The sequence below is a fragment of the Homo sapiens genome, chromosome 10, assembly GCF_000001405.40.
Source record: "Homo sapiens chromosome 10, GRCh38.p14 Primary Assembly".
NCBI lineage: Eukaryota > Metazoa > Chordata > Mammalia > Primates > Hominidae > Homo > Homo sapiens.
The window spans coordinates 63,574,894-63,598,997 of NC_000010.11; the positions used below are offsets into that span (position 1 = coordinate 63,574,894).

The following is a 24,104-nucleotide window of genomic DNA, read 5'->3' on the forward strand; positions in this document are numbered from 1 at the left end:
GTCGCCCAGGCTGGAGTGCAGTGGCACGACTTGGCTCACGGCAACCTCTGCCTCCCGGATTCAAGCAATTCTCCTGCCTCAGTCTCCCAAGTAGCTGAGATTATAGGCATGCGCCACCATGCCTGGCTAATTTTGTATTTTTAGAAGAGATGGGGTTTCACCATATTGGCCAAGCTGGTCTCGAACTCCTGACCTCATGATCTGCCTGCCACGGCCTCCCAAAGTGCTGAGATAACAGGCATTAGCCACCGCACCCAGACCCCAAGAGGTCAGTTTCTTGAGATGCTAGGTTGGAAATCATTTTCTTTCAGAATTTTGAGAGCAATTCTTCATTGTCTTTAACTTCTGGTGTTGCTGTTGAGAAGGCTGAAGCCATTATGATTCTTACCTGTTTTTCTCCCCATTCAGGAAGCTTGTGGGATATTTTCTATTTTCCTGTTGTTTTAAAATTTCATGATGATGTACTTTGTTGCATGAGTCCGTTATAGTCAATTTTGCTAAACCCTCAGGAGTCCCTTTTAATCTGGGAATCCTTTTTCCTTCAGCTCTGAGAAATTTAGTTAAAATTATCTCTTTAATACTGTTCTGTACTCCATTTTCACTGTTGTTCTGTCTGGAATTCTTTTTATTCATTTGTATTTGTAAGGCACTTGGACTGGTTTTCCAATTTTTTTTTTAATCTTTTCCCTTCTCTTTCCCATCTCTTTTTGTTCTACTTTCTGATTGAGTTTCTCAGTTTTATCTTCTAACCCTTCAATGGATCTTTTAATTTCTGCACCTATGTGCTTAGTTCCTGAGAATATGACTGACAGTTTTTTGGACACTTTTTTAATTTATTCTATTTTATTTTATTTTTTGAGGCGGTGTTTTGCTCTTGCTGCCCAGGCTGGAGTGCAGTGGTGCAATCTCGGCTCACCGCAACCTCTGCCTCCCAGGTTCAAGCAATTCTCCTGTCTCAGCCTCCTGAGTAGCTGGGATTACAGGCATGTGCCACCAGGCCCAGCTAATTTTGTATTTTTAGTAGAGAAAGGGTTTCTCCATGTTGGTCAGGCTGGTCTTGAACTACCGACCTCAGGTGATCCGCCTGCCTTGGCCTCCCAAAGTGCTGGGATTACAGGTGTGAGCCACTGTGCCTGGCCGGACATTTTCTTCTTTCTACATAGTCTTTCGTTTGAATTCTGTTTTACATTTGTTTCAGCTTCTGTTTTTCATGTATAATTTCCTCAAATGTTGGATGATCTCGGGTTCTCTGCTCATTTTTTAGGATAATAATGAAAAGCTGCCTGGAGCTCTGTGCCCATGAAAGGGCTTATTGAACGTGATCTTCACTGTAGAGTGATCTGACTAGACTATAGAATATTTTCCTGTGGCTGCCATAAGGACGTACCACAAGCAGTGTGGATTAAAACAACAGAAATGTATTGTCTCACAATTTCTGGAGGCTTGAAGTCCTTAATTTCATAATCAAGATGTTGACTGGGCCACACTCCCTCAGAAACCTGTTGAGGAGAATCATTCCTTGTGAATTCCTAGCTGCTGATTGTTGCCAGCACTTCAGTCTACCTCCACACTCTACCTCCATTGTCACATAGGACTCGCCCCTCATGTCTCTGTGTGTCTATTTTGCCTCTTCATCTTAAAAAGACACCAGTCACATAACTTCATTTAACTACATCTTCAATGACCCTGTTTCCAAATAAGGTCACGTTCTGAGGGATTGGGGTTTAGGACTGTGTGTTAGTCAGCTTGTGTTGCCATAACAAAAACCATGGACTGATTGACTTGAACAACAGGAATTATTTTTTCACAGTTCTGGAGACTGGAAGTCCAAAATCAAGTTGCTGCCAGGGTTGGTTTCCTGTGAGGGCTCTTTTCCTGGCTTGTAAGGCAGCCACCCTCCCATATGTCATCACATGGTCTTTCTGATGTGTGCACATGGAGAGAAATATTCCTCTTTTTCCTTTTCATATAAAGACACCAGCCCTATAGTAGGGCTTCACCCTGTGACCTCATTTAACCTTAATTACCACCATAAAGGCCCTAACTCCAAATATAGACACATTTGAAGTTAGAACTTCAACCTGTGAATTTTGGGAAAACCTAATTCAGTCTAGAGCAGATCTTAACACATCTGTTTTGGGAACACCATTCAACCCATAACAACCATTTCTTGGAAAGTTATCAATGTCTATATCTTTAGGTATTTTCTCTTGTGCCAGTCAGATTCTTCAGAGAAGACTCTTCCATTCTGAAAGGTACTTGTTTACCAGCATCCTACTAGGAGAATAAGGCTTGGGGGCGCTCAACATTCAGTTTATAAACTTTTACTCGATCCCTATTAGCCCCACTCTCAGTTGTGCTGGAGATTTGCAAATCCAGAAACCCTCTGATTCACCCCTTTCCAGAGAATAAACATAAGGGTTTCCCTGGGGAAGGAGGGACATTGACAGGCTTCTGGAATGAGAAGGTATCTTGGAGTCTCTCTCCTCCTTAAGCAGATGTACAGCCATCCTTCCTAACTTTAGCACCCCTGTCCTTTTTGTTTTGTTAGACAGGGTCTTGCTGTGTTGCCCAGGATGGAGTGCAGTGGTGCCATCATAGCTCACTGCAAGCTCCACCTCCTGGGTTCATGCGATCCTCCCTCCTTGGCCTCCCCAGTAGCTGCGACTACAGGCACATGGCACCACATCTGGCTATTTTTCTTTTCTTTTTTCTTTTTTTCTTTTTTTTCCTTTTAAGTAGGAAAAAAAAGCTGTTCTTGAGCTCCCGGGTCCAAGCTATCCATCCACCTGGGCCTCAGAAATTGCCAGGATTGTTAGGCATGAACCACTGCACCCAGCCTCTGTAACCCTTTTGACCAGGAATTTTGCCACCATTTCTTTTGGCGAGCTCTGCAGTGTAGAGTTAAGTTGCTTCTCAGTTTTTCCCCCTGCCAGCTTGCTGTTCAGTTTTCTCAGGTCTCCTAACTCAGTTACTACTCATCCATTTCCTTCCTGGTTCCAAAATTCTTATGTTCTCTTCTATATTCTTCTGAGCTTATGCTGTCTTTAAAAATCACTTTACTGTTGTTTTAATATTTGTAGAGGGAGTGGAACTGAATATGTATATTCAGTTTACCATCTTTACCCAAATTTCCAAATTGACTTTGTGAGTGGGATACTTGCAGTTGAGTTACTCTGTGGTATGTATGTATGTATGTATTTATGTATGTATTTATTTATTTAAAGTCGGAGTCTTGCTCTGTCACCCAGGCTAGAGTGCAATGGTGTGATCTCAGCTCAGTGCAACCTCCACCTCGCAGGTTCAAGCGATTCTCTTGCCTCAGCCTCCCGAGTAGCTGGGATTACAGGCACCTGCCACCACACCCAGCTAATTTTTGTATTTTTAGTAGAGACGGGGTTTCACCATGTTGGCCAGGCTGGTCTCAAACTCCTGACCTCGTGATCCGCCTGCCTCAGCCTCCCAAAGTGCTGGGATTACAGGCGTGGGCCACAGCGCCCACCCGATTTACTCTATAATATTAAGTAAGACTTATTATACCCTTAACATTGGTTTTTAAATGTGTTCACTTAGGAAATAGATTTAAAGTAATATATGGCCGGGCATGGTAGCTCACACCTATATCTCAGCACTTTGGGAGGCCGAGGTGGATGGATCAATCGCTTGAGTCCAGGAGTTTGAGACCAGCCAGGGCAACTTGGTAAAACCCCGTCTCTACCAAAAAAATACAAAAATTATCCAGGTGTGATGGTACACGCCTGTAGTCCCAGCCACTTGAGAGGTTGATGTGGGAGGATCGCTCAAGCATAGCAGTTCAAGGCTTCAGTGAGCCAAGATCATGCCACTGCACTCCACCATGGGCAAGAGAGCAAGACCCTGTCTCGAAACATAAAAATAAAAATAAAGTAATACATACTGTCGTTTTTTCAATGCTTGAAAATAACTTTAACATTTAATTGTAGCTGACATACACTGAATTCATGTGTGCTTACTTAAATTAGGTTATTATTTCTTTATAAACCTAATTTTTCATATGTCATGTTTACTATTTTATATGTAATATATACAGCATATCACTTCACTGGTAAAGTAACTGGTACTGTTATAATCATCAAGTGTTTTATATTCTTCACTATGTGTTTTTTTTTGGGGGGGGGGAGATGGAGTCTCTCTCTGTCACCCAGGCTAGAGTGCAATGGCGCATCTCAGCTCACTGCAACCTCTGTCTCCCTGGTTCAAGCAGTTCTCCTGCCTCAGCCTCCCGAGTAGCTAGGTTTACGGTCACCCACCACCACGCCCAGATAATTTTGTATTCTTAGTAGAGATGGGGTTTCACCATGTTAGCCAGGCTGATCTCAAACTCCTCACCTCAAGTGATCTCCCCACTTCAACCTCCCAAAGTACTGGGATTACAGTCCTGAGCCACCACACCGGGCCCTTCATTGTGTTTTCTAAAAACAATTTCTGATCACCTGGGGATTATTACAACAGATCTAACTTTAGGAAAGTAAGTATTAAATTTGAATAAGATTATATAATAGGGGGATTTAAATTAAATGCCTAACAGAGTTTCATCCAAAATTTTAGAATGTGAATTCAAGGAACTCTTGACCCTTCTGAAGTAAATTGAAAGCATTTCCACAGTGTTCACACTAGGATGTAGCTAGCCAACTCACAGCTGCCTGTCCTCTTTTAGCTTCCAATGAAAATGCTTTGGAAAACATACACATAGAAAAAGAAATTCTCACAGTAATACTTAAACCTAAGAGGCTAAGCAATCAGGCTTTTGCTAAAATCTAGGAAGAATGTTACCAACTGTAGTGCCAATGGAAATGGATTTTTTAAACCATTTTAAATGGGACTGAAACAGTTGTTTCCATTAAAGGAAATGTTGCTAAGAAGTAAGTTGGAGGGAGGCCTAGCCACCCCCACCCTAATCCCTAGTGATGGAATAGTTTAAAACCATAAAAGCTACAATAACCAGAAAACTCAACTGCTACCACCCTCACTGCAGGGAGACCTGAATTCAGAGGCAGCCAGTGTTTGCCTTCCCTTTTTCAGAAAACATAGCCTCACTACTTTGAAGAAAATACCAGTAATTTCCACACAGGAGAAATAATCATTGACTATAAGAGAAATCAACAATGTAGTAATAAACTAATTATAAAAAATTGAAATGATAGTAATATATATCATAATTTATATTCTTGACTATAATAGCTGGTTTTCGTTGTTGTTGTTGTTGTTGTTGTTTTGAGGTGGGGGGGTGGTATTGCTCTGTCGCCCAGGCTGGAGTGCAGTGGTGTGGTCAAACTCACCACAGCCTCAACCTCCTGGGCTTCAGCTATCCTCCAACTTCAGCCTCCTCAGTAGCTGGGACTCCAGATGTGTGCCACCACGCCCATCTAATTTTTGAATTTTTTCTAGAGACGGGGGTCTCACTATGTTGCCTAGGCTGGTCTCAAACTCCTAGATTCAAGTGACCTTCCCACTTCAGCTTCTCAGAGTGCTGGAATTACAGGTGTGAGCCACTGCATCCAGCTATAATAGCTTTAAAAGACTATTTTGAAAAGGAAGGAAGAAAAATCAAAAGAATCTGTAAGAAATGTAGCATGAATAAAGCAATATAAGAGCAAAAAATAAAAACAAAATCAGGTAAATTAGTGTATCTAGGAGTTTCTTTGAATAAGTTTAATAAGATAAACACTTGAAATAACTAAGGTATAGGGTAAGATAGAAAAGGACTGAAAAAAATGAAAAACAAGAAAAGAGTTTAAGCAAGCAGTACTAAATTTAAGTGACATAGAAAATATTAAACTACCTATAATTTTTATTAAAAAATGGGCCAGGCACAATGGCTCATGCCCGTAATCCCAGCACTTTGGGAGGCCAAGGCAGGAGGATCATTTGAGCCCAGCAGACCAGCCTGGGTAACATAGCAAGACCCTACCTCTACAAAAAAAATAAAAATAGCCGGGCATAGAGACATGTGCCTACAGTGCCAGCTGCTTGGGAGACTAAAACAAGAGAATCACCTGAGCCCAGGAGGCTGAGGCTGCAGTGAGCTGGGATTATGCAACTGCACTCCAGCCTGGGGGACAGAGTGAGACCCTGCCTCTAAACAAATTAAAAAGAGTATTTTCTAATAATATCAGATAGACCTATTTTTTCCTTTTCAGCTAAAGATTATATTATTTATGCAATGACATTTCCCCTTTCACACAATACTGGGATCTGTCTTTGGAATACCCAGACATGTACATCATCTTTCCATTATGTAATTTTAAAAATATAGTGCTTTACCAACTACAGCTGTAATAATCAGATTGTCAACCAGATTGCCATCACACCGTGAAAGGTCCTCCTAAAAATATAAAAGCTAGAGCTATTCCTGAAGATTGTAGCTAAATACATAAAATAAAATCACTCTCCAAAACGTCATAACTTTAAAAGCACCCAAAATGTAATGGAAATGTAAAATGATAAAGTTTTTTTGAAAAACTATAAAAAAATTAAAATGCATTGAAATGTATTATACAAATATTTACCTTAAATTTTGTCTCTTGGCTACGTGTGGCAACTCACGCCTGTAATCCCAGCACTTTGGGAGGCTGAGGTAGGAGGATTGCTTGAGCCCAGGAGTTTGAGACTAACCTGGGCAACATAGCAAGACTCTGTCTCTACAGAAAATAAGGAAAAATTAGCTGGGCGTGGTGGCATGTGCCTATAGTCCCAGCTACTCAGGAGGCTGAGGGAGGAAGATCGCTTGAGCCCAAGAGTTCCATGCTGCAGTGAGCTATGATTGTGCCACTGCATTCTAGCCTGGGTGACAGAGCAAGACCCTGTATTTAAAAAAAAAAAAAACTCTTGCTATTAGAAGAGAGTTTTTAAATTGTATTTTTAAAAATTCTTTTATCTGCTCAATTGTTAGCTATGAACAGTGCCTCTGAGAAGTATGCTAAAGGTTCAGCTCCTTTTTTTTTTTTTTAGCTTTTTGGTATTTTTCTTTTAAATGATGATGTGCCCAAACAGTATTATGAAACTAAGGGTACATTTTAAATGTTTACACTGAACAGATTATCTCACAATACCAAGTTTGTCTTTTCTCTAAACCCAAGGCTCTTACATTCTCTTCGGAAATGGCACCACCTTCCTCTAGTTGATATTGTCAGAACATGCACAGCACAGCCTCTCACTGCAGTGCTTCTCAAAATTTAATGATCATGCCAGTCCCCTGGGATTCTGCTAAAATGCAGATTCTGATTTAATAGTTCTGGCCTGAGCTTCAGATTCTGCATTTCCAACAGGCTTCCAGGTGATGCCAGTGCAGCTAGTCTGTAGACCACAGTTCACATCACAAAGATTCTGTGCATGTCCTCAACTCTGGTTACATATCAAAACCACTGGAGGAGCTTGACTTTTAAACATCTGTCTGCCCTCTCTCTGCACCTTGTGATAATGAGGCCTCAGAATCTATATAACTGTTTGTAATCACCACATGATTCCTATCCACAGCCAAGTTGAAAACCACTGATTAAGCAGTATATTATTTTATTGTGGCACTCAGGCAACCCTTCACTACACCTTTACTACACTGTGTGCTTTTAAAAACATATATGTTGATGTAAACGAATAGTTGATTTTAGAAACATCTTATGTAAATTGATTGATTAACAACTTGGAATATATTATAGAAAAATAATATTTTAGTAAAATTAACTATAAGATACAATTAGGGGAGTAAGGCTATTGAGTAGGACTTCCTCCTAGTTTCCATTTTTTGTGGCTGGCTCTAGACCAAATGTCTCCGTCAGTGAAGTGTCCCTTTATAATCACCCACCCTTCTTTCATAGCTTTCTGCAGCCTCTGTGTACCTGTTTCCTTAGGCCTCCACTGTGGCACTCAGGCAGCCCCTCTTTACCCATGTATCCTGTATTCTGTGCTCCGTTACTTGCTGCCCTCCCACTATCTCCCACTCACCTAAATGTGAACTTTCTCTCTGTGTGGTTGATTGCACATGCCTTTGAAGAGAAGTAATTTGATAACACAGGTTTGTTCTCGGTCATGATGGAGATTTTGTCTTCCTGGAGTTTTTTTTCTTTTTTGTTTTGAGATGGAGTCTCGCTCTGCCACCCAGGCTGGAGTGCAGTGGCACGATCTCAGCTCACTGCAACCTCCGCCTCCCGGGTTCACGCCATTCTCCTGCCTCAGCCTCTGCCTCCCAAGTAGCTGGGACTACAGGCGCCCACCACCACACCCAGCTAATTTTTTGTATTTTTAGTAGAGACGGAGTTTCACTGTGTTAGCCAGGATGGTGTTGATCACCTGACCTCATGATCCGCCCACCTCAGCCTCCCAAAGTGCTGGGACTACAGGCGTCAGCCACGGTGCCTGGCCCCCGGAGTTTTTTTTCTATCAGTCTTTGCTTTCTCAGGAAGACCATGTGGTCCTACTATTATAAGGGCCAGTTCTTGACATTTAAATACTTACTGTATGTTTAAAGTATGCTGTCAAACCTACTATAAAGCAACAGTAGTATATAGGGGCTGTTATGTTCCCTAAAGAATGGAATTTTTCATTTACTAAGTCAGCCATAGCCTTGCCAGACACCTAGAGAATGAAGCATCTCTTTTGGTGGCTCGGTTAATGTCCTTTGTGGAAGGAGCCAGATGGAGTCGACTGTGTGAAGTTAGATAAGGCCTAGGTGCCTAAGAAGTGGGACCAAGACCAAGAGAAAGAAGGAAGTAGGATGACAGTTTGGTATGGGAACTAAGATAACCAGTAGGATGGCTGTGTAGTCCAGTCTATATTTGAATAGTCTTTTTTCCCATGCTAAAATCCCGAGAAATTCTGTGTGGTCCTGTTAAAAGGGAACTGTGTCTCTTACAAATGCTTATTATCCCAAATAAATCAATAGAACTTTAAATAATATAAAAAGTGAAGTATGAATTCTCAGCCAGTGTTGATGGAGAGAGTTATTTTGGGACTGAGAAGTCATTCCTTCCTAAATTCTGCTCCTGGGAACAGTTCCCTTAAGCAGTTCCTGATTTTTGCATCTTTAACACTTCTTTTAAATTAATTATCATCTAATTTTTTAACATATCTGTACTTTCCCATCTCTCAAGTTTCTTAGACTCTACTGAGGTCAGGGTTGAGATATATAAGGCTTCTCTGATTCAAGGGCACTGGGGAAGACCAGTGCAATGTTGCGACAGAGGTATCCATTTCTATATACAGTCGGCCCCATTTTAACTCACTGTAACACCAGATACATTTATATAATGTGAGGCTTTCTCCTTCAGAGCAACAGGATATTCTGTGAGGTATTTGGCAGTGATAATTAGAAACTGCAGGTAAACAATGTTGCTGCCAGTTCCGCATCTGAAAGTAGAACTCCCAAGTCATTGGTGTACTGGGGAGGTGCTGACAGTTAAAACCTGCTTAGATGGGCATGGGGGGAGAAGTACCCCAAAGTTGAGGGAGCTCACATCAATCCTAAGCTAACATATTCACCCCCAACACATGCCCCATCTTTTTAAAAAAAAAAAAAAAAAAAACTATTTTCAGCCACAGTCTCTAGTCACTTTGGATTTAACTTCAAATAGCTTTTTTTCAACCATGCCTCTAACTTGGCACAGCTCTGAGAAAAAATCCCGTAACCAAGCCATCTGGGTTGGATAAAACAGGGAGCTTTTCTATTTGATTTCTCACATTTTGTTCCTCTTTGTTTTTAATGATGGAGTGGGGGGGGAATCATTATGAAGTAACCAAATTATTGGATAAGTTAGTGAATCGGGAATAGATCTTTTCAACTCTATACTGTCTCTAAAAAAATCTGTATCAGAGGATCTCTCTGTTGTCTCTGAAATGTGGTGTAGAATGAATGTTTTGGGTGAATTGACTTGAGTGGGTAACAAGTAATGGTCAGAAAATAAAGTTCTCATTGGGTGGTCTGAAATTCAGCAGTGTTTATTTCTTTTTAGACTCAGCAGAGATTTTTTTTTTCCAGTGAAGCATATTTTAACATGTTATGCTCTGGATTTACTTAGTATGGTTTTAAGTGAATCATTAGGCATGTGTGATTTTTCATTTTTTCTTAAAGACCAGCATTAATAGCTTCATAATTCAAAGAGTCTGTAATTAAGAGAGTTTGAAGAGTTGTTTAAACTCTGTTAACTTTGAAAAAATAGGCTATTTTATATGTGATAAACTGCTGCTTGCAGTTCAGAGTTACTTGTTGGGATTGTGTATCAATTCAGACCTTAAAATGTAAGAGTGGAAGCCATCCTCTGTGCTTGCTTTCCAGGCACAGGGTGCTAGGTACTGAGAATATGAAGATGAACAAGGCACTTTTGATCCCTATTTGTTGTTACAGTCAAATGGCAGGGGTGGTTGTTACATAAACCAACCATATGGATATGTTACAAAGGAAAAGTACGGTACACAGAGATTATATATGATCTCTGGAAGGAGTCAGGGTAATTAGGAAAGGCTTTCTTTTGGAAGTAAAGAAATTTTATTTATACAAGGCAGTGAATAATATGTAATGTAATAAAATACTAGTAGTTATATATTAAATCAGACATTGTGCTGGTAATCACCTATTCTTATCCTTCTATGTTATACTAATCCCCCCATGAAAGCTTTGTGGGTGTAGGAAAACCTTGACATCAAGGTTTATGACTATCTCATGTCAAAGGTTTTGTTTGTAGTAGGCCCTAAGTAATGTTTATCAAATTAATATATCACATTTTTTCTTTTTATTATACAAGTGTAAATTATTACAATTATAACATTTAACTTTATCATTGCTATCATAATGTCTCACTGGTCATAGCATAACAAGTTATATAAAGGTATCATTTAAGAAAAATACTTTGAAGTTAATATGCCATTACTGCTATTATCTATGGCTCTTATAAATCTACAGCAGTGTACCTCCAACCATACCATATTTCCTTGTATACTTGGGGCCTGGGTATTGTTCTCAATTTCTGTGATGGAAATCCTGAGGATCATTTTACAATTGCAGCTTACTTTTTGTTTGCTTTATTTGTTTATCCTGGGATCTAAATCAATTTCATAAAAGTTTTCTCTAAGAATGTAAATCATAGAATCTTGTTTTATTGAAAATGTTAAGAGATCATGAAATGAAGCTAACTCTTCATTTGGCATTAGGGTAGGTAAATGCATACCTATTAAATGAAGCATGGTTTTCTTGATAGTAAATTTAGCCTAGGAGTATGTTCATTTTACAGTATTCACTCCAGCTTTAAATATCCTCTAATTCCTTTGAGAGAGTGAAGCTAAGAACTCTATCACATGACCGTCTGGATTTCTGAAATGCTAAGTCTTTATAAAAGCCTTATGGATTTGAGTAATAATAAAGCAAGTGCTGGCTTGTTAAGTAGGCTAATCTGATCCATGCACTATATAAATCAGAATGTAATTTTAAATACTATGACTTTATATCGCAGATGACTCCATATTCTTCAAAAGAACTTGCCTAATTATAAGAGCATATTTCCTTGGAAAATCAATTTCTTTTGATTTTTAAATGACTTTAAGATTCCATTTGAGGATTATTTTACTTATATATTTTTATTTTAAATGAAAATATTCATCACATTTCTTTAGTCACAAAAAATATAGTAGGTAAAGTGCTCCAGTAGTGAAAATGATTGCCATTTCATTGTGACCACTTTCAAGAGAAGTTTATTACCAAATAATTAGAAAAAAAATGGAAATTATAATCTCACTTGTTAAGTTAACCCAGTTCATTCGTTCTTTTTTTAAAAAATTAATTTTTTATGGTAGGGGTAGAGATGGGGTCTTGCTGTGTTGCCCAGGCTGGTCTGGAACTCCTGTGCTCAAGCAATCCTCCCACCTAAACCTCCCAAAGTGCTGGGATTAAAAGCATGAGCCACGACACCCGGCTTATTAATTCTTTTAATAAGTATTTTTGAGCTTCTGTTTTGTGCCAGGTACTGTACAAGGCATTAGATACACTCTTGGCAAAGAAAACAAAGTAAGCAAAATAAAACATCAAACATCTTTGTTTATAGAGTTTTCCTACTGACGTTTATGCATGTTTTTTTTTTTTTTGCATTTTATTCACTGGCCTCCCACTCAGAATATATTTACTTGAAATATTGTGCCTATTTCTAACAAGTTCATTTATCTGATTTCTTGGCCTATTGAAAGTAGAAGAGGATTGCTGCTGAAACCATGTAGACTGAATGCAGATGATAGCTAACAAATTCACACAGACTTCACACTTGCCAAGGGATCACAATAATAATTTAAAATGGTATTCCTCTAGCTCTGCCTCTGTCTGCTGCATGAGAACATCAATCCTTCCTACCCTTCATTTCTTTCCAAAATACTTCCCTGAGGATATCTCAACCACAGTTGCTTAAAATGTGGTCCCCTTCTCCATTTCTCAATCATTGTAGCACTGTCACGACCAGTCCGGGCATTAGCCCTGCCACAGATGGCAGCTAATAGTACTATGACCAGTGCCTAACTAATTCTGGAACCACTGCTGCTGTGGCCTTGCTCTCTCATTATTACAGAGATTAGTGTAACCTCTTATACTGCGGTAGGCTAAGCCGCTATGATCATAGTATGTAACAATAATGCAATGACTGAAGAACTATAGAAATCTATTTCTTTTTCACATAAAAGTCCTGGTTAGGTGCTCATTTCATCAAGAAGTTCTCCCCACACAACTATTAATATTTGAAAACTCAGATTCTACCCATCTTCAACACATAGCTTCCAAGGGTGCTCTGCTCCCTGCCATCCCAGCCAGTAGGAAGGAAGAGCAAGTGGAAGAGACACCCCCACTTCTCAAAAGCCTCACCTCATATTCTTTTGGTGAGAACTCAACAGATTCCTCATCTACCTGCAAAGAGGGGCTGAGGAACCCAGGCCCTGGCTCAGCCATTTTCTAGCCACACTCTGTCATTCTACCTTTTATGGACAGCAGTACATCATATCCATACTTCTCTTGTTTCATTGTCCTAGACTTTTCATACTTGTTTCATTGTCCTAGACCTTTCATTATAGCCCTTGCACCAGCACCCAGAACTGGTGAAGGCACCATTGGTCATAGTCTGTTCCAGGTCTTCCCTAGACAGCTCCCTTTCCCATCCTTAAAAACATCTTTTCTAAACATTTACTGCTGTTGTGAAATCCACTCACCTTCCCACTCATGTCCAGCCTTAACAGCTAATATGCCGCCTACTGCAGAGTAAAGGTAGAGGGCCTAACCCATGAACCCTTCAACTCTCTTCTGGACACAGCCACTCTTTTCTTCCTTTCTATCTGTCCCAGAGGAAGAGGTATCCCTGCTTCTTTCTTGAGCCCACTCTTTTCCCTCTGTGTTCCTAATCTTATTCTTGTCTATCTCATCCAGGATCTTGTTCCATTAAATATTCCTGCTTTCTCATAATTTGAATCTCATTATCTCTCCAGTATAACGTTAAATCCTTGAGAACATAAACATGCTTTCGTGTTGCTTCATGCTATTTTTTATTCCTTCTCCTTAAAAAAAAAAGATATCTTAAAAGATTAATTTATATGTACTCATCATGTTTTTACCTCCTATCTACTTTCTAGCCTTTTGCAGTTCTTACCAAAAGGAACACATTAAGCTATGTGCATTCCCACATTCATTCACCAATCCATCAACATACATTTATTTACACCTTTTATGCCAGGCACAGATGATTCATCAGTGATCAAAATAAAAGTCTTTGTCATCATGGGGTTTACATTCTACTAGGGAAAAAGCAGAGGAAGAGGGGAAAGCAAATATTTGTTAGATGTGCTTATGATATGTGATACATGCTAAAGAGAAAAATAAAGCAGAATAAGGAAGTTAGGATTTTGATATTTTAAAGAGGGTAGTCAGGAAACGCCTCTCTGATAGGAGATATTCGAACACAGACCTGAAGCAAGTGAGCAAGCTCTTCACATGGATAACTGGGGGAAATGCATTTTAGACAAGGAAACAGCATGCAAAAGGCCTCGAGGCAGGAGCATATCAGCACATACCAGGGCCAGTAAAAGAGCAGGTGTGGCTGAAGCAGAACAGAACAGGAGGTGCAGTAGCAGGTGAGGGCAGAGAGATTGCTGGAGCCACGTAGATACACAGGGCTTTCCAGGCTATAGTAAGCAATGATTGGGAACCATGGGAGGGGTTTGAGCAGAGGAATGGCATGATTTGGCTTCTGTTTTAAGTAGGCACCCTGACTGTTGTATGCAGAATAGAGTCAAAAAAATGGAGTGACCAGTTAGGATGCCACTGAAATAATCCAGACAGGAGGTGATGGTCATTTGAGCTGACGAGGTAATGAAAAATGATTTCTATTCTGGGTGTTTCAAAGGGCTAACAGGTTTAGTAGTGCTGGAACCTTCTATTTTCCCCTCCAGTGGAGCTTTTCCTCCACTCTCCATACTTCTCTGCCCGGCTGCTTATGGCCCAGGAGACTGGTCTATACAGGCTGGATCATCTCTGGCCTCCTTTGGGTTTGGCCCATGAGAGGCCCCTGCACAAGATCAGAAGACAGGAAAAGCATGAGGTCACAATATTTGTTCTCCTAGCCCCCTCACTGCCACCACCAGTTAGCTGTGACCGTGGCTCTCACCTGCTTACCATCTTTGGGTTCCAGGAAGCCTTTTCCTCCCCTACCTCCTTCTCACCTAGATATAATACCAGTTCCTGCAGTGGCTTGCTCAGGGGCACGCCACTATACTTTATTGGTGTTCTTGAACCTTGCACACAGATTTATAAATAATCCCTTTAGTAAGCTTTCCTCCAAATATTGGGATTTTGACCCATACTGGGAGCTAGGACGTCTAATGTACTAAGAACAGCAGAACATCTTTTTTTTTTTTTTTTTTTTTTTTTTGGAAACGGAGTCTTGCTCTGTTGCCCATGTTGGAGTATAGTGTCATGATCTCACCTCACTGCAGCTTCCACCTCCTGGGTTCAAGCGATTCTCCTGCCTCAGCCTCCCAAGTAGCTGGGATTACAGACACGCACTACCATGCCCGGCTAATTTTTGTATTTTTAGTAGAGAGGGGGTTTCACCATGTTGGCCAGGCTGGTCTGGAACTCCTGACCTCAAGTGATCCGCCCACCTCAGCCTCCCAAAGTGCCAAGATTACAGGCGTGAGCCACCGCACCTGGCCCAGAACATCTTTTTAAATTAGGGACGGGATCTCATTATATTGCCCAGGCTGGCCTCGAATTCCTGGGCCAAAGCAGTTCTCCACCTCAGCTTCCCATGTAGCTTGAACTACAGGTGCACTCACGCATTTTAAAAATCATGGTTATTTACTTGTTTTTCTGCCCAGTGAAATGTTGAATCCTTGAGAATGGAACTATCATGTTTATGTTTCTATTCCCATGCCATGAGGCAGGTAGGATTTGCTTACAGTTGAATCAGTGAGTGTTATTTTTAATGTTGCCACCTGAGTCCTCAAGAATTGACTAAATTATGTTTTACATGAAAGATTAATGAAAAGGAGGGTATATGTGCATGTGTCCCCATCTTAGTGCTTATAGGTGTAAACTTCACCTTGTTGGATAATTAAGTTCTCTGGGATCAAGGAAATTTTTTTTTTTTCCTTGACTTGTGTATAGTTATCGACTAGGCTACATAGAAGGGAGGTGCAGAATATTCAGGCAATTCCTATGTTATGTGAGCCTCCTATAATACAAGCCCCCTTTCTGAAAATGAACTGTCATCTGGGTTGAAATTGTGCACCACTGGGAATGGGGGACTTGTAGATTGACAAGGGCCAAAGGGACTTTTAAGGAAATATTGGGTATAGCTTTCTCATTATTCATTGTTCTTGTGAAGATATCTAAACAACAGTTTGTTGATTTTACCAATTGTTTCCGAACTGGAAAGAAATACGATTTGTTCTCACTTCCCCGATAATATATTTCTATCAATAAAGTTAGTAACCTTTTTTCCCAGTAGCTTAAAAGGTGATTTGTGATTTATTAAAGTCACTTGATAAATTACTGACTTCTATTTACATATTTTAACAGCAATTCTTTATATTATATTTGGTTACATATGTTTATAAGATAGTGTATTGGTTTCCTTTCAATTTTTTGGTATTAATACTACATTCTGTTATCAATGTTTTTTGTTGATCTAAAGAATATTTCCTTTATCTTCACATACATTTAGGTTTTGTGTTTTTGTTTTTGTTTTTTTTTTTTTTGACCTTGACTTCTTTCTGCTATTTCTTTTGAGCAAAACCTTAAACAGCAGGCTGAATGGCCTTGAGGTGTAGTTTTAATAAAAGCATCACTGAGTAATCATTTGGTATAAACTCCCAACCAAATACATTAATGGAAAAAAAGAAAGCAATATATTTTCAAGGTTAACTTTCTTTATGGTTGCTTCCATGAATAATACATGGTCATTGAATTTATTTAATTTTTGCCTGTATTCAACTATATTTAAGGTTCATATTTCTGATGAGAACAAAAAAAATCATAGGTTCAAGAGACCAAATTGTCAAAGAATTTATTAATTAAAGACAAATTAAAGCCATGGGGTTTGCATATGTAGAACTGTAGTCAATTCACCAGGAAAATGCCTAGAAATACCCTATTGATTAGATAGTTTGCTGTTGGGTATTTAACTAAAAGTTGAAGCCTTTTCTCTCTCTTTTATTTTTGACACTATTAAATATTCTCACAACCTAAACAGATAATTTTTACTTTCTTAGGAAAAAACATATATTTTAAAGCACATATTTATTTTGTGAGTTTTAAAATTAATTTGATGACTTCATCTGAAAATTGAATAAGCACTTAACTGAAGCACAGCTACTTTTGAAATCTTCAGAATGTGCAGCAGCTCTAATTCATTCCACAATTCGTCATTCAGGGAATGTCAGCAAATGGCTACCGTCTGTACAGTCCTTTTGCCTCTACTCAACCCTATTAACAAGTAAATTAAAACAATTTGTGGAGCATTACTTATAGTTGTTATCCCCTTGGAAGATCACAACCATCAACACAGTTGTAAAATAATGAAAACGTGAAATAATGAAAAATAGAAAGTAGTTACTTAAATGCTTTTATTTTTCTGTGAATTTATTAAATTTTCTGTGAAGTGAGCCATATTTCACTTAAGCCTCCACTTTCCTGGGAAAGGAGGTGATAATATGTACACTGAGGTCTCTGTGCTGAGTACTGGAGAGGGAGAGAGCCAGGAAATCCTAGAGAACTGGAGAGACTGGTCTGATGGCAGCCGCTTGTTTAAAAAGCTGCATCCTTTGGGCTTCAAGGTGGACTGTTCCTCCTTCAGCCATTTCCTAGTGCAGTGATCTTGAGCAACTTATTGATTTTGGCCCTTTGTAAAATGAGAGGAGTTCACCATATTACTTATTTTCAAACCCTTCTCATAGAACACAAGGGTTTCTTAGAGTCTCCCCAAGAGTCTAGGGCAGTATAAATGAGAGACTCAGCCAGAACAGTTTCTCTTGTAATGTATTTACAGGGTTTTTTGTTTTTTGTTTTCGGTAAAGGGTTGTTTAGTTTAAAAAAGCATGATGATTCCCCAAATCCCTGCTAGCTTAACAAAAAAGCACACGGTTCAGTTTGTAGTCATTTTTTCCTTCGTTTCTTTTTAGGAGGGAGGCCTATAGTCAGGATTGACTCTAAAAGATAACCTTATGGGCCGGGCGCGGTGGCTCATGCCTGTAATCCCAGCACTTTGGGAGGCTGAGGCAGGCAGATTGTCTGAGGTCAGGAGTTCGAGACCAGTCTGGCCAACATGGTGAAACCCCGTCTCTACTAAAAATACAAAAAAATTAGCCAGGCATGGTGGCGTGCGCCTGTAATCCCAGCTACTCAGGAGGCTGAGGCAGGAGAATTGCTTGAACTAGAAAGGTGGAAGTTGCAGTAAGCCGAGATTGCACCACTGCACTCCACCCTGGGCGACAGAGCAAGACTCTGTCTCAAAAAACAAAAACAAAAACAAAAACCTTATGAATACAGCTGAGAAGTGAAAGTACTAAATTAGTGTTTGGATTTGGAAGGACTGAGGGAATGAACTCATACAAGAGCATCATTTCCTCTTTTAGAAACAGGTAGGGAGGGGCCGGGCGCGGTGGCTCACGCCTGTAATCCCAGCACTTCGGGAGGCCGAGGCGGGTATTCATATTTCACATTACAATTGCTTCAGAAGTTATTCATGGCTATTTTCTATTGGGTTGTTCATGTAAATAGACAATTGAAAAAGCTATTTGAGTTATCATTTTATATTGCCTGCGAAATACCCAAACAAGCATCTGTATTAAAACTAATAGGTCAATTTCCCAGTTATATATAAGGACCTAAATTTTTTTGTCACTCATGAGGTGAGAACAAGGAAAGTGGTAGTCATCCTTGGACCCTACATTGGGCAGTTTCTCACATCTTCTCTCTCTGCCTGGTATAATGGGTTAAGCAATTCCAGAGTCAGGCAACCTGGACAGAAATCCTACCCAAATGACTTCTCTTTTACCTCTCTGTGCCACTGTTTTCTTATCGATGATGGAATTAATTATATTTCCTACTTTGTAAAGGTTGTTACAGGGATTAAATGAATTAATTTATGTTATATGTTTATCAACGTAATTCCTCGCCCCCTGGTTGGCATGGCATTGTGTATTTGCTGTTATTACTACACAGAAAAGCAGAGATTTTAATCGTACGTGAAACTCCAGTGCACTTGAGAGACAAGAAACTCTGTGTACTGAGGTCGATGAAAAAATATAAATTTGGGAGAATTAACTCAGAAAACATTAATCTGGCATGCTTCTATGAGAAGGATAGGTCCCAAGAGAAGGCAGAGTGCCAGGGACCATTCAGCATGCCCTGACTCAGAAGAGATTAAAACGTCCTGAACTACCATTGTGGAATTAGAGTGGAAGAAGGAGAAAGATGTGTGAGAGATTACAGGCTTACATCAGGGGAAGAGGAAGAAGATTAACCTTATGCTGTCCACCTGGGTAACTAGCATTATGGCTGCATCATTAATAGAAGTAAGAAGCCCAGGATTGTTGTTTGCTTTCTGAACAATTTATATATATTGGGAAATAAGGAATATAAAATTTTAAAGACTAATAAAGATTAAATATAGTCTTATACTATATTATTTATGTAACAATTAAATAGCTAAGGCCAGGCATGGTGGCTCATGCCTGCAATCCCAGCATGTTGGGAGGCCGAGACGGACAGATAGCTTGAGCCCAAGGAGTCCGATACCAGCAGGGCAACATGGCAAAACCTCATCTCTACAAAAAAAAAAAAACCAAAAAAAATTTAGCCAAGTGTGGTGGTGCACACCTGTAGTCCCAGCTACTCGGGCAGCTGAGGCAAGAGGATCACTTGCACTGGAAGGTCAAGGCTGCAGTGAGTCATGATCGTAATTGTACCACTGCACTTCAGCGTACCCTGTCTCTACAAAAAATAAAAATAAATAAATAACTTATAGTCTTCATAAAGAAGCAAGTAGATAACGTCTTTTAAAGAACTTTCTTCCAATTAAGAAAAATATTTCCTGTTTTCCCAATTCCTTGATTTAGATTCCTAGATTATATTGTATCAAGTCCCAGAGATTTGTTAATCTTTGCTCCTGCTATCCCAAGACTGTTGATGTAGTAATGTAAAGAACTCAAACATAAAACCTGTTGAAAATTAAACCATCACTTTCTGCGTTTGACCCAACATACTATGTATCCAGAAATACATACATAATATGAAATTATTATGAAATCCAGAAATACATACATACATACATATTATTCAGAGTTGCAAATAATTTTCATCTGTTGTTTCATGAGTATTTTTATTATTTCCAGGTTCGATGGATGATGTACTGGATTGTTTTTGCTCTCTATACTGTGATTGAAACAGTAGCCGATCAAACAGTTGCTTGGTAAGTTTTACTATTGAGAAGGGGCCAGACTACAGACTCATAATCAGGTGTCCTAAGTTCTTATCCTGCTCTTGCTATTAACTGAGTGATTTTCATCAGGTTACCTAATTATCCACCCATTTGTTTTTGTCATCTGCTTTCCCATAGAACACTACTTTCCTTTTAGTCCCCATCAAATAAAGGCAGCTCATTTTCCTCCCCATACGCCGCTCCCTGCTCACCTCCCACACACCTTCCCCCAGTATCTTGGAATAGGGAAAGTTGATTGTCATCATCCTTTTCTGCACTGATGACTTCAGAACATTTTCCTGTATCACTTCCTAAATGACTCCACTTTTGAAGCCCACAGCATCTGGTTTTAGCACCCCTCCCTATCCTATCCTTAAAACTCTCATCTACAAACATTTGAACTGGAAAACGTCAGCACCCACGTGGACACCCACTCAGCACTAGCTTCCTGGCTGCTCTGTTCCAAATAGACGAGGCAAAATTAAAGTGTGTTTATATCCTCAGGGATTTGACATTTTACCAAGGAGCAGTACTTAACTGGACAACTCAAATCTCCCTGTGGTGTATTTCAGTAGTGCATTTCCATCTAAACCCTGCAATCACTTTGAGAACTTCTCCTTTCAAAATATTTTGGTTTACTACCTTGCTGATATCTTCATCTGCCCTTGACGCACAAACCTTCTGTCTAAATTAGCCTAACAATTACTCGTCTTTTTTTTCTTTTTTTTTTTTATACAAGGTCTTGCTCTGTTGCCTAGGCTAGAGTGCAGTGGCACGATCTCGGCTCACTGCAACCTCTACCTCCCGGGTTCAAGCGATTCTCCTGCCTCAGCCTCCCGAGTAGCTGGGATTACAGGCACATGCCACCATGGCCTGGCTAATTTTTGTATTTTTAATAGAGACGGGGTTTCACCATGTTAGCCAGGCTGGTCTCGAACTCCCAACCTCAGGTGATCTGCCTGCCTCGGTCTCCCGAAGTGCTGGGATTGCAGGCATCAGCCATTGCACCCAGCTAAAATGACTCTTTTTTACTTCTTTAACTGGGCTGCTAAATTCAGCTGAAAAAATTAATCAGCTGCTCACATAGGTATCAGCTTGAACCTCATTCTTTTTACTTGCTCCTGGTCAGTGTCTACTTACATTTTGTCTGGGTCTGTTTCAAACCTTTACTATTCTCTCCTTAAGCTGTCTTTCCCATTTTGCTCTTCTCCTGTTCATGTGGCACATTAGGTCCTATTGGATTTGCAAGAAAAAAAATAGAAGTCTTCATACTAAAATATTTTTAACAACCTTCCCTTATTTGCAAACGTCACTGTATCTGTCTTCTGATTTGAAATACTGTAAAAATTTCCCTTCCTGTGCCCCAAAGCTCATTCATTTATCTGTTATATTTTTGGTATAGGGGTTTGGTTGTGGGGGGTCTCTTTGTTTTTAAGTGACAGAGCACAGATCCCCAACCGTGCTACATCGAAGTTTCCAAGTTCTCTTTTTAAGACTTCATTTTTTTCTGATTGCAAATGTAGCCTATATATGTTATTTAAAAATGAACGATGTAGAAAATGTTTAACATGAACAACTGAATCCAGAAACTCCTGTAATTGCAGTGTGGCAGAGACCTCTTTGTTGACTACATAGTAAGTCATCCTCACTGCTCTCTACCTGCCCACCTTGACAGAAGAACTCAAATTTGCTCAGCTATCATTTATCCTAGTGATAAATGGACTACATTTATGTGGTTCTCACAGACAACAAGATACTGAGCCTCTCATTATATATTAGTGAACTTTTGCTGTGGCAAAAAAACAACCATAAAAGTACAGTGGCTTAGAAAAGCAAACTTTTATTTCTTGCTCAAGCTACATGAGGGCAAATGGTTGACTGCATCTTTGCTGGGGTCAGGTCACTTTTGCTGTTGTTTCTGTTGTTGTTTTAGAGACAGGGTCTTGCTCCATTGCCCAAGCTGGAGTGCAATGGCATGATGATAGCTCACCGCACCCTTGAACTCCTGGGCTGAAGCAATCCTCCCAGTTTGGCCTCCCAAAGTGCTGGGATTACAGGCGTGAGCACCTCACCTGGCACCTTAAACCAAGGCTGAAGAAGCAGCTGTTCTCATGCCAGAAGGCAAAAGCTTAAAGCAAGAGTTTGAGGGTAATGGGTAATGGAGTGAGGGAGTCGAAGGGTGTTCTAAAGCTTCTGCTTGCATGTGACATGTATCATGTTCTTTTCTGCTGGCCAAAGCAAGCAAGTCACATGGTTAAAGCCACAGTCATTGGTTGAGGAAGTATACTGGGCCAACGGGGGAGGCCCACTGTAACACTTTGTATTTTCCTTGGAAGTGAACAGTTTAGGTCTGCAGAGTGCTGCAATTCTGGCCAAATGAAATTGGAAGGGATATTTTTTCGGAGTTCTGAAAAAGATGAAGACGTGTGTGTATGGGGTAGACATTGTGCACTTGGAGCATATGAAGTCATTCTCTGATAGGCACAACTATCATATGAGATAGGTCATGTACTTCCATGCCAGTTTGGCTCTGCAGATAGGGTGGCCATACCTTGTGCACTGGATAAATGGTATTAGTGCCTTCTCTTAACTGCTGCATTCAGTTTGGCAGCTTTCCTATGCTTACTACAAAGGAAGATTCTTGTATTAGAATGAGGGGGGAATCTCTCAGGTCACACATTCATGAACTGATCTATAGTTGAAACAAGATTATTCAAACACAGTTGTCTCCTGATCACTGACTTTTACATTCAAAAACTTAGCATAGGCTGGGTGCTGTGGCTCACGCCTGTAATCCCACCACTTTGGGAGGCCGAGGTGGGCGGATCACATGAGGTCAGGAGTTCAAGACCAGGCCTGGACAACATGGTGAAACCCCGCCTCTACTAAAAATATGAAAATTAGCCAGGAGTGGTGACGTGCACCTGTAATCCTAACTACTGGGGAGGCTGAGGCAGGAGAATCACTTGAACCCAGGAGGCGGAGGTTGCAATGAGCCGAGATGGTGCCATTGCACTCAGATGACAAGAGCAAAACTCCATCTCAAAAAAAAAAAAACAAAAAACAGCATAGTGACTGAACTTTTTAAAAGGTGTTTTTGTGATTTCTACAGTGGTTTGTTTTTCACTGGCAGTTTATTTCCAAATGTTTTTCTTATTAGGTTTCCCCTGTACTATGAGCTGAAGATTGCTTTTGTCATATGGCTGCTTTCTCCCTATACCAAAGGAGCAAGTTTAATATATAGAAAATTCCTTCATCCACTTCTTTCTTCAAAGGAAAGGGTAAGATATATAAATTACTTCCGTAAATAATTTTTTAGAAATGCCTAAGCGGAGGCCAGGTGTGGTGGCTCACACCTGTAATCCCAGCACTTTGGGAGGCTGAGGTGGGTGGATCACTGGAGGCCAGGAATATGAGACCAGCCTGGCCAACATGGTGAAACCCCACCTCTACTAAAAATACAAAAAAAAATTAACCAGGTATGGTGGTGCATGCCTGTAACCCCGGTTAGTCAGGAGGCTGAGGCAGGAGAATCGCTTGAACCCAGGAGACGGAGGTTGCAGTGAGCTGAGATCTCACCATTGCACTCCAGCCTGAGTGACAGAATGAGACTCCATCTCAAAAAAAAAAAAAAAAAAAGGCCGGGCACGGTGGCTCACGCCTGTAATCCCAGCACTTTGGGACGCCGAGGTGGGTAGATCACTAGGTCCGGAGATCGAGACCATCCTGGCTAACACGGTGAAACCCTGTCTCTACTAAAAATACAAAAAATTAGCTGGGCGTGGTGGCGGGCACCCATAGTCCCAGCTACTCGGGAGGCTGAGGCAGGAGAATGGCGCGAACCCGGGAGGTGGAGTTTGCAGTGAGCCGAGATTGCACAACTGCACTCCAGCCTGGACAAGAGAGCGAGACTCCATCTCAAAAAAAAAAAAAAAAGAAGCGCCTGGGCTGGGTGCAGTGGCTCATGCCTGTAATCCCAACACTTTGGGAAGCCAAGGTGGGAGGATTGCTTGAGCCCAGGAGTTTGAGACCAGCCTAGGCAATATAGTGAGACCCCGTCTCTACAAAAAAATTAAAAATTATTTGGTCATGGTGGTACACACTTATTGTCCCATGCCACTGCATTCCAGCCTA

The 24,104-nt window shown here is 40.3% G+C and overlaps 1 protein-coding gene and 1 long non-coding RNA gene across 4 annotated transcripts in view, besides 1 other annotated feature; one reads left to right on the forward strand and one right to left on the reverse strand.

Annotated features, from left to right (window-relative positions):
• Nucleotides 1-24,104, forward strand: part of REEP3 (receptor accessory protein 3) — a 103,728-nt gene that overhangs the window by 53,493 nt on the left and 26,131 nt on the right. For all 3 annotated transcript variants that reach the window (NM_001001330.3, XM_011539501.3, XM_017015896.2), the window contains exons 3-4: nucleotides 19,885-19,961; nucleotides 23,131-23,251. In NM_001001330.3, coding sequence (NP_001001330.1) covers nucleotides 19,885-19,961; nucleotides 23,131-23,251 — 198 coding nt within the window. The remainder of the gene's footprint in view (nucleotides 1-19,884; nucleotides 19,962-23,130; nucleotides 23,252-24,104) is intronic.
• Nucleotides 13,916-14,210: a silencer, noted in NCBI's record as "tiled region #5662; K562 Repressive DNase matched - State 14:Gen5'". NCBI's record gives its function as "represses a minimal TATA promoter and a strong SV40 promoter by Sharpr-MPRA in K562 cells {active_cell/tissue: K562}" and the evidence as "EXISTENCE:reporter gene assay evidence [ECO:0000049][PMID:27701403]".
• Nucleotides 16,889-24,104, reverse strand: part of LOC105378329 (uncharacterized) — a 33,332-nt gene continuing 26,116 nt past the window's right edge. Inside the window, exons 3-4 of the long non-coding RNA XR_001747467.3 lie at nucleotides 21,111-21,203; nucleotides 16,889-16,975 (exon numbers count right to left, since the gene is read on the reverse strand). This is a non-coding gene — a long non-coding RNA (uncharacterized LOC105378329). The remainder of the gene's footprint in view (nucleotides 16,976-21,110; nucleotides 21,204-24,104) is intronic.